Genomic DNA, 11416 nt, shown 5'->3' on the forward strand with positions numbered 1-11416 from the left:
TCCCACGTCTCTTTTTTGTCATGATTTCCATTACTTTATCCTTTTCCTTCATGTCTTGTGACAAGTTATAAAGCTTATTTTTTATTCATTAATTGAGTTTTCTACTATGTTTAACTTATTGCCTGCTTCCTCCACTGTATGCATTCAGAGTTCATGTTTTTCTTCTCCAAGAAATGTTTTTTACTTTCAAGACTGTTTTAAGGACTGCCTGCTTCTGTATTATGAATGAAATACTCTCTTATTGAGAATACAAATGAGTCATTATCTGGGAGTTCCCTTCTTCTTGTGACTTGTAGGGTAACAGTTGCCCCAGGTGTGTTAGCATATCTGCTGTCTTTTGAGCCAATGCCTCTTCTAAAATACCCAGTGAGTTTTCCATTTTCCTGCTCTGCGGAGAGATGGCTGTTTGCCCAGCATGAGGAATTCAGGCAGATTCTGCCCCAGAGGACATGGGTCCCTGATGAAATATTTCAGACTCAAGACAAATAAAAAAGGAAAGGATTTAGATTGACTGTAGTGTCACTTTGTGAGATGAGAAGTCTAGCTGCCCAGGGAAATTGGGAAGAAGCTACAGCCCCAGGGCTATCACTTCGGGAGCCTCATCTCTGTGCCCATGGTTCTGATTCTTTTCCACGTGTGATGTGGTAGCTAGAACGTGAGCTGGGGCTCTTGCTTTCCTTCTCCTCTAATAGGCACAACCACCTTTGTTAAGAGTCTGCACAATTTAACTGATCATCTGAGTCAATTACAAGCCCTTAAGTGAGTACCAGGAGGGAGTTAGTTTTCTCATCTACACATGGGGATGGTAGTACTTACCTCATGATGGTGTTGTGATGATGGAAGGAGTTACTGCATATAAAGTCCATAGAACACTGCCTAGTGTGTAGTAAGCACCACGTTATAGTCTGCTATTTTCATACTGGCCTGCACTCCGGGAATTCCAATAACAGCTGCCTTTCTCAGAGGTACAAGTGAATGAAGATCTCTCTCTCTCACACACACACACACATACACACACTCACACACCTGTCACATCATGTGTCCTGCTGTGTAAGCTGGTGGTGTTGTGGACTTTCACTGTGTCTCTTCTTCTCCACCCACACATTGGGCTCTTCCTTCACATATAGCAATTTCAAAGCTGGGCAATGCTTCCCTCAACCTGGCCACACCATCTTTTCCAATAACATGAATTTGCTCCTTTCAATGAAAATTTGGAGAAGTGAGTAAGATTTTGCCCCATTCTGACAGTACCTGGCACATAGTCAGTTCTTAATTTAGTTCTGTTAAAGGAAAGGCTATCCATAGCATCAATTCCCTTTGTGAATCTAAAACTTTCCTGTTTATAAGTGTGAGAAGTGACCTAATGTCATCTCTAGAATGTCAAGGCTTACTGAAAACAGTTTTATCACAGCTGGCAGCAGCTGACACCAATCAAAGTACAATTAGTCAATGAGAATGTCAGAGAAATGATTTTAGACTCCTTTAGGGTTGGAAGTTGGAGCAGCCATCGGTCAGTTGTGATAGACAAGAGGCTTGGAAAATTACTGAAGAGTTTTTAAAAGAGTTGGAACACCTAAGCGAACATTCCTGATCAAAGACAGACTGAGCTGCTAAAATCTGTTCAAAGGCTTTTAGAGCTTCAGCACTGAGCTAATTTTAATTACCATCTTTAGATAAGGGAGAAGTAAACAGATCGCTTTGGTACATTTAGAAATGCTATGTGAGTTTTGAGCATTTTGAGCAAAGAGGTAGAATCTTGAGTCTAAACCTTCCCCCATCACACCAGGATTGCAGAGGCCCAGATAGCACTCTACATCTTGAGACCAATACTTCAGTGCAGTTCCTGGAATAAGTTCAAAAGAATACTGAATTTGGAAAGCAGTATAAAATTCATTTTGGACCAACCAAACTAATCCTTCTTTAATGATTAAAAACATAGTACATCCAAAATCAAAACAAATCTCAAAATGGCAAGAGTCAAACTATGTAAACAAGCTAAGAGGATCTGAAATACAAGAAAATAAAATAATAATTCAGACCTTCATGAGGTCCCATCTCAGTGGATTTGGTTATACATGATCCAAATAGAAGCTGGTCAGGTAAGTTCAAAGCCGTAGTTGTTCATGACAATTAATTTAGCAATGCCTAAAAGAAGACTGTATCCTGGAGAAAATGGAGCCCCCTCTAGCCTTCCCTAAATGAGAACATTAAACTCTTTTATGCCAAGCCACTGAGATTTTGAGATTTATTTATTACTGCAGTGTAGTCTCACAGTGTCAGCTTTCACTAAGTTATGCTGGGAAAACAACCACAAAATACCAGTGGCTTATAACACTATTAGATGTTCTCCCATCAGATGTGGCTGTGGATTGGCTGTTTCTCTGCCATATGAGTCATCTTCATTCACAGGTTCAGAGGTAAGAAGCAGCCCTTTTCTTGAATACCATTGTTCAAGACATAGAAGAGGCAAGAGAACTGGTGGAACTACATGAAGGCTTTTACACCTTCTGTTCAGAAATGGTACATAATGCTTCTGCCTTCATTTCATTGTTCAAAAAAAGCCACATGACCAAGCCTTATTACAATGGGGCAGAGAACTGTGTGATCTTTTCACAGGGAGGGGTAACAAATAATTGGGAATAATAATACAATCTATCACATCGTCTTACCTTGATGAATACAAATATTGGAAAGAGAAGTGGTGAGCCACCACCAAATAACAAAGCAAAAACAAAAACTTAAAGCTAAAATATGTGGCACTGGCCTAGCCATGAGTGTTGAGAAACCTGCTGTCTGAAGTTGGAGAGATGGAGATCTATGTAATGTATTTGGTGGAACCATCTTCAGAGGTAGCACAGGAAGCAGGTCATGTGTCTGCTGAGCAGGCATCTTAAGAAGAGAGGTTGGAAAACTAAAATTTAATAGTTGTTGTTATTGGCCATTTGGCAATATTACAAAATAAATAATATCTCAGGAAAGAATTGGGCAATTTCAGGCAGAAATGAAGTAAATGGAAAGTCCAAAAATGTGGGGTCTTGCAAGACCAGTAAAACTGATTGCTTTCAGACTCCAAACAGTAGAGATGGAAAAAATGACCTTAAATGGCAGACTAAAATGGAATTTTGATCTTTGGAACAGAACTGTCTACTCATCTTGGTCCTGTTACATGAAGAATAAGCTTCTATCTATGGTGAGCTACCGAGTTTCGGGGTCTCCTTGTTACAGAAGCTTAGCTTGCACCTTGACTAACAGATAAGTGTAAAGTCACTCTGAATACCAAGATTGCTTTCAAGATTGGTCTCTTGGAGTCCAGGACAATTGGCTGGGCTTCTTTGGCATCTAACCTAACCTTAACTAACTTCTTGTTCATTTAGACTTTGTAACTCCCCAAAGACAGGATCCTACCCAATATGAGTGCCATTCTTAGGGAAATATCAAGGAATTCAAAGCAAGCTCATTGCTCTGCAGAAAATTATTATCTAGTATATAATTTGCATTTAATTTAAAGAAAGCAGGAGATGCAACACCAAATGTAGGTGTAATCAGGCATCACTGACCAGGATACATTCTAAGAAATGCATCTTTAGGTGATTTCATCATTGAGTGAACATCACAGAGTATACTTACACAAAACTAGATGGTGTAGCCTACTACACACCTAAGCTATATGGTATAGTCTGTTGTTCCTAGGCTACAAACCTGTCCAGCATACTAAATACCATATGCCTACTGAATAATTGCCTACTCTACTGAATACTGTAGGCAATTGTAACTCAATGGTAACTGTTTGTGTATCTAAACATAGAAAAGGTAATGTAAATATATGGTATGAAAATCTTATAGGACCACTGTCATATGTGCAGTCCGTTGTTGATTTAAATGTCATAATTTGACATATAACTATACTGACATTCTTGCCAATCTAGTTCAGTTCTTCATTTATTGAAAAACAGACAGACAGAGAGATATGCAGTTTTTACCCTCAAGAAGGTGTCAATAGATTCAGGGAAACTTATCTTACACATATAATGATATAGTGTGATAAACTGTATTGCAGAGAAAAGTAAAAGGAATGTCTTGGAAACGCAGCTATAGATGCCTATCTCAGTTGGAGGCAAGGGCTCAGGGCAGGTTTTGCAAAGAAGGCGGTGCCTCAACAGAGTCTTACAGAAAAAAATGAAGAAATTATTCTGGTAAAGAGGGAGATAATCGTGTTCCTGGCAGAGGGAGCCATGGGAGCTAAGTCAAGTATGCAACAGAAACATCCTTACTGCTACTCCAAGGTCTGCATTGAATACTGAATCCAGATCTGTCACTCTTTGAATACCAGGTCTCTGAGACTCTGAAAGCTGCCTGATATGCTTGCCTTTCCTTTCTTAAGGAAGCATTCTTAGACAGCCAGTCTTAAAGAGTGTCCTTAGGTACACTTGGTCATGTGTGTAAAGTTGATAAAGGCTTAATATTCTTTCTCTTAGATGTCAGTTGACAATTCTCCATGGTGTTTCTGCATGTCACCTATCAGCTTTTGTTCCAGGCTACCTTGTCAAGGATGTTTGTTAAACAAGCAGCCTTCGAAGATAGAGATAGTGTCTTCCTCGAAAACAGAAAACATGTATGTTTCCTGACCTAGCATAATAAAGATAATGTCTCCAAAGTTGAGCAGGTTTACAAAGAGCCTTTGAAAGATATGCATTTTTTCATATAAGGTGTAAGGAAAGGATCCAGTTTCAGCTTTCTACATATGGCTAGCCAGTTTTCCCAGCACCATTTGTTAAATAGGGAATCCTTTCCCCATTTCTTGTTTTTGTCAGGTTTGTCAAAGATCAGATGGTCGTAGATGTGTGGTATTATTTCTGAGGGCTCTGTTCGGTTCCATTGGTCTATATCTCTGTTTTGGTATCAGTACCATGCTGTTTTGATTATTGTAGCCTTGTAGTAGAGTTTGAAGTCAGGTAGCATTATGCCTCCAGCTTTGTTCTTTTGGCTTAGGATTGACTTGGCAATGTGGGCTCTTTTTTGGTTCCATACAAACTTTAAAGTAGTTTTTTCCAATTCTGTGAAGAAAGTCATTGGTAGCTTGATGGGGATGGCATTGAATCTATAAATTACCTTGGGCAGTATGGCCATTTTCACGATATTGATTCTTCCTATCCATGAGCATGGAATATTCTTCCATTTGTTTGTGTCCTCTTTTATTTCATTGATCAGTGGTTTGTAGTTCTTGAAGAGGTCCTCCACATCCCTTGTAAGTTGGATTCCTAGGTATTTTATTATCTTTGAAGCAATTGTGAATGGGAATTCACTCATTATTTGGCTCTCTGTTTGTCTGTTATTGGTGTATAAGAATGCTTGTGATTTTTGCACATTGCTTTTGTATCCTGAGACTTTGCTGAAGTTGCTTATCAGCTTAAGGAGATTTGGGGCTGAGACAATGGGGTTTTCTAGATATACAATAATGTAACCTACAAACAGGGACAATTTGACTTCCTCTTTTCCTAATTGAATAAATTAATTCAAGATGGACTAAAGACTTAAATGTTAGACTTAAAACCATAAAAACCCTAGAAGAAAACCTAGGCAATACTATTCAGGACATAGGCATGGGCAAGGACCTCATGTCTAAAACACCAAAAGCAATGGCAACAGAAGCCAAAATTGACAAATGGGATCTAATTAAACTAAAGAGCTTCTGCACAGCAAAAGAAACTACCATCGGAGTGAACAGGCAACCTACAAAATGGGAGAAAATTTTTGCAATCTACTCATCTGAAAAAGGGCTAATATCAAGAATCTACAAAGAACTCAAACAAATTTACAAGAAAAAAACAACCCCATCAACAAGTGGGTGAAGGATATGAACAGACACTTCTCAAAAGTGTCTGTTTATACAGCCAACAGACACATGAAAAAATTCTCATCATCACTGGCCATCAGAGAAATGAAAATCAAAACCACAATGAGATACCATCTCACACCAGTTAGAATGGCAATCATTAAAAAGTCAGGAAACAACAGGTGCTGGAGAGGATGTGGAGAAATAGGAACACTTTTACAGTGTTGGTGGGACTGTAAACTAGCTCAACCCTTGTGGAAGACAGTGTGGCGATTCCTCAGGGATCTAGAACTAGAAATACCATTTGACCCAGCCATCCCATTACTGGGTATATACCCAAAGGATTATAAGTCATGCTGCTATAAAGACACATGCACACGTATATTTATTGTGTGGCACTATTCACAATAGCAAAGACTTTGAACCAACCCAAATGTCCATCAGTGATAGACTGGATTAAGAAAATGTGGCACATATACACCATGGAATACTATGCAGCCATGAAAAATGATGAGTTCGTGTCCTTTGTAGGGACATGGATGAAGCTGGAAACCATCATTCTCAGCAAACTATCACAAGGACAAAAAACCAAACACTGTATGTTCTCACTCATAGGTGGGAATTGAACAATGAGATTACTTGGACATAGGAAGGGGAACATCACACACCAGGGCCTGTTGTGGGGTGAGGGAAGGGGGGAGGGATAGCATTAGGAGATATACCTATGTAAATGATGAGTTAATGGGTGCAGCACACCAACATGGCACATGTATACATATGTAACAAACCTGCACGTTGTGCACATGTACCCTAGAACTTAAAGTATAATACAAATATATATATAAAGATATATATATATATAAAGATATGGGTTTTTTCATTTGCAGTGTGTACCCACCATGTGCACATCATCACCTAGGTGTGCCACCAAATCTCCCCACTGGGATTTGACAGGTGAAGAGAACCAATGTAAATATGAAGTTCATGCTGCTTGTTGGCTTGTTGTGCTTTCAATAATAAATAAAGTCCTTTGTCTCTGACCCAGGAGTCTCATATCTCCTGCCAGTATCCATGAAATTGTGGCAGGGTAATTTGTTTGGTTCTGAGTGGGTAAAATCTCAGATTTCTCACCACTCTTGATATTCCAGAGATATTTTCATTTTGGAACAGAAAACGTTCCCCTAAAACAAGGTGATGAATTTCCAATTTGTGTTTTAGAAGGATGAATTTTCTTTATTAAGAATTTCAGACACTAATGAATGATTTTTAAGCAATAGACCTTTCCATTGTGTCCCTTAACCAGCTTATATGACAACCTGGGTGGAGTGCTTTGGCACTAGCTCACCTCCTGAAAGTAAAGGACTAAGAATGTCAGGGTGAGCAAAGCCTTTAGAAGACAACGGATGCATCTCAATATATTGTAAATAAAATGTTCTAGAAGCCTGGCAATATATTGCTAATATATTTTCTATTGTTGAACGCATTGTGTCTGGCTCCAGAGTATGATCTGTGGTTCAGTTAACTTTATGAGAAACCATACATGTCAAACTCCCTGGCTTCTGAGTAATAAGGGCTCTGTCATCTCCTAGGGAGTAGTCCTAGTCACATCATCAAAGCTATCTCAGAAGCACAGTGTTCATTTCCAGCCAGTGGGAAAACAGAAAGTGAGTACCTGGAAGGCAACCAAATTTCTTTAAGGAAAGTAATGGAAGTTGCATACTTCCCTTCCATTCATACTCTTTTGGGAAATGTGATCATACCTAGTTGCCAGGAGAACTAGGAAATGTTGCCTTTAACTGAATGCCTCTAGCTGTGTGCCCTGCTAAAATATGGTGGAGTTGAGTGAAGGCTCTACAACCACAGAAAGAAGGAGAGAAAGAATATTAGGAGACAGTTAGCTGTCTCTTTCACGGACTGAAAATATATTAATAATAATCCACTCTACAGTGAATCTTTGCAATAAACCCAATTATCAAAGGTATCCTGGATGAGTCAGTTCCTTAAAACGTCCAACCAGTACATGTGTAGGACCTCAACAAGTGCTTTTTAGTTAACCTGAAGGGTTGAAGAGGTCCTTTACCTTTATACTATAAGCAGAGCAACTACAACAGCAATTGTGAGTATTCATGATAGGCCCAAGGAAAGATCCAGAGCTGATGCCCACATAGAAATGAAAATCCCTTGTGTGCCCTGGCCAGCTAGACTTACTCAGCAGTGAGTACCCTTCACTCACGCTGAAGGGTAGCAGACTCTTCTCTCTCAGCATCACCTTATTAAAAGCCACTGTTGGAAGGGGTGGTGGGGAGGATGGGGTTAATCCTCCCTTCTGATCTGAGTGAGGCTGATTGGGGGAAGACATTATGATGACAGGAAAGCATGGGGGGAAACTTTCTTTCTTGGATGCAGGTTGTTCTAGAATAAAAAAGAGAAGTGATGTCCAGTTAAAACTGGTCTGTTTTCTTTCTCAGTAATTTATCTAAATAATTCAGCAATATGTTTTCTTGCTTGATGCAGAGGATGCAGTTCAAAAGGTGCCAAGCAGAATTTTACATGATATTTGTAAGAATTTGAAATGAGTTACTAAATTGGTTTGGATCCCAAGAGTGATTTGAATCTAAGTTTAAAAACAAAACAAAACTAAAAAGACCAACAAGCCCTCCATCAGTATTTATATGTATTAAGTGAAAACGTACTCCACGAAATGAAGACTAAGTTGGGAGCCTAGTGTCATCAGCATAGTCCCCATTAACAGCTTATAGCTTGAGGGAAAGACACCTCTAACAGCTTAACCCTTCCACAGGCAGCACAATTGCTATCAGCATCTGAAATAAGCCCCTTTCATAGTGTAATTTTATTATGCTGCTTTAGGTTGTTGGCTGGTTTTGCTCTGTGCTGCCAGTTCTAAAATGACTCTCTCCTCATCTCAGGCATCTTCTAGCTGTATGTTTCTCCTTCCTCTGAATTCTCTACATGGTGGCTGGAATAATACTTCTAAAACACAAGTCTCATCATGCCACTGCTCTACTTAATTTTCTTCAGTGGCTTCTCCTGGCCAAGGACAGTGCCTGTCAGTGTTTTTCCCCTGCAATACACAAAATAAATGTCATTTAGAAACAAGAATCCACCTATTGCTGGCCAAAGCCTACTCCTCTCACTTTGTGCCAAGCAAAGCAAATACTATCACGAATAATTATCAGAAGAGCCTCATGGACATGTAATCAGCTGAACATCTCATTTAATGAGAAAAATATTGCTAAATACTGCCAATTTTTATTTTTAAAGAGGGACTGGGCTTCCCCTCTTCCCTTCCCCAGGACCATGAGGTTCTTCTCAGTTTCAGGGCCTTTGCAGCCTCTCAGATCTTCACACAGTTTGCCACACACACTGGCAAAGGCAGATCTCCCCTCCTTCCAGTTTCTACTCTGTTGCCACTTCTTCAGGGACACCTACCCCGACTGTTCCAGTCAACACCATCTGTTCCCTTAGGTACTTTAATTTTCTTCCGTGCATTTGTCACTCCCTGCAATTTTATCATGCATTTATTCATTTGCTTATGTGTATTCTCCTTCTGCTAACAGAATATAAGCTCTTTAAGGGCAAGATTTTTCTTTTATGGCTATATCCCCAGTAACTACAAGAGTAGGTGAAAAATTATATTTGTTGAATAAATACATGTTGATACACTATTCACTGTCTCCCAAGCTAGCATTATTTTTATGCCCAAACTTTTAATTGAAGTTTAATATACGTACATAAAAATACATTTACAGGTCCTAAACTTACAATGTAATGAGTTTCACAAGTTGAACACATCTGTGTAACCAGCACCCAGATCAGAAAACGCATTATCAGCAACCCCAAAGCCCTCTCCGTACTTCCTTTCAATCACCTACCCCCATCAAAGATAATTATTATCTGAACTTCTAGAGCATAAATTAATTTATTCTGTTTTTGAATTTTATCTAAATAGGATTATATTAATAAGTACAGTCATCCCTCAGTATCCATGAGGGATTGGTTTCAAGACCTCCCTCAGATATCAAAATTCACAGATGCTTAAGTTTTTTTATGTAAAAAGGCATAGTACTTGCATATAGCCTGCCACCTGCACACATCCTCCTACATATTTTAAGTCATCTCTAGATTATTTATAATACCTAATACAATGTAAGTGCTGAGTAAATAGTTGTTATGCTGTATTGTTTAGGGAATAATAACAAGAAAAAAATCTGTACATGTTCAGTACAGGCACAATTTTTTTCAAATATTTTTCCATCTGCCGTTGGTTGCATCCATGGATGCAGAACCCATGGATATTGGGGGCTGACCACATACACTGTTTTGCATCTGACTTCTTTCATGAATTATATTTGTGAAATTCTTATATATTGTTATATGTAGTTGTAGTTCGTTCTTTCTCTTTGCTGCATAGCTTTCCACTATATGAATGTGACATTATGTGTCTATCATTACCCTGTGTTGATGGCAATGTGGTAGTTTCCAGTTACAGGCTACTACACTCCGTGCTGCTCTGAACTATTCAAGGTCATGGTTTTGGTGCATATAACCAATGTGTAACTTAGGAGTGAAATCCTAAGTCATAAAGTTTGCTATACATTCAGGTTTTTGTTTTTTGTTCTTTTTGAGACAGAGTTTCACTCTTGTCGCCCAGGCTGGAGTGCAATAGCATGATCTCTGCTCACTGCAACCTCCACCTCCCTGGTGCAAGCGATTCTCCTGCCTCAGCCTTCCAAATAGCTGGGATTACAGGTGCACCCCACCACGCCCAGCTGATTTTTGTATTTTTAGTAGAGACAGGGTTTTACCATGTTGGCCAAGCAGGTCTTGAACTCCTGACCTCAGGTGATCCACCCGCCTCTGCCTCCCAAAGTGCTGGGATTACAGGATTGATCCACCGCGCCTGGCCACATTCACTTTTAATAGATACAACCAATCTTTCCAAGTATTTGTACCAATTTACATTCCCACTGAAAAGGGTAGGCAGGCTGGTTTCCTTATTTAATGTGGTTTAGAGCAAAAGAACAAGAGCCCCTTACTCAAGCTGTAGCTTATCTAACTTCCAGTCAATCAGCAACAAAGGACCCAAGAAGCTATTAACCACAGGTTCCTGTGTTAGTGGGGTAGGGACTTCCCTGAGGGCTCCCACATGCACAGTTAGACTTAAACTTCATGCCTGGGATGGAGATTTAAAATGCTAAGGTTGCATACAGTATACGAAGAACCATGTAAAGCCACTGCGCATGTGTTAAAGAAACCCCTCCTCTACATGCCCTGATGAAACCCTTCCCTATGGAAATGTCCTATGAAACGAACCCATATACTACCATGGGGAGCAGCCCGCCATTTTCCTTTCATTGTGCTCGCTTTCTTGTGCACAAACTCAAAAAACTTTCACTTTCTCTTTGTTACTATGTCTGGTGATCTCTCTTGATTTTCTATCCTGGGAGATTTCAAGAACCCAGAGTGCAGTGCCAGTAACATTACCATCAGTGTATAAGAGTTCTAGATGCTTTTAGCAGTTCATAATTTCAATGATTATATATTTTTTCCCTAAATATATCT

The 11416-nt window shown here is 39.4% G+C and overlaps 2 annotated features.

Moving 5' to 3' along the window:
* Positions 10898 to 11098: a silencer, noted in NCBI's record as "peak293 fragment used in MPRA reporter construct". NCBI's record gives its function as "represses an SCP1 promoter by STARR-seq MPRAs in K562 erythroleukemia cells {active_cell/tissue: K562}" and the evidence as "EXISTENCE:reporter gene assay evidence [ECO:0000049][PMID:32103011]".
* Positions 10912 to 10961: an enhancer, noted in NCBI's record as "active region_1211". NCBI's record gives its function as "activates an Ori minimal core promoter by ATAC-STARR-seq in GM12878 lymphoblastoid cells {active_cell/tissue: GM12878}" and the evidence as "EXISTENCE:reporter gene assay evidence [ECO:0000049][PMID:35858748]".

The sequence above is a fragment of the Homo sapiens genome, chromosome 1 (assembly GCF_000001405.40).
Source record: "Homo sapiens chromosome 1, GRCh38.p14 Primary Assembly".
Lineage (NCBI taxonomy): Eukaryota > Metazoa > Chordata > Mammalia > Primates > Hominidae > Homo > Homo sapiens.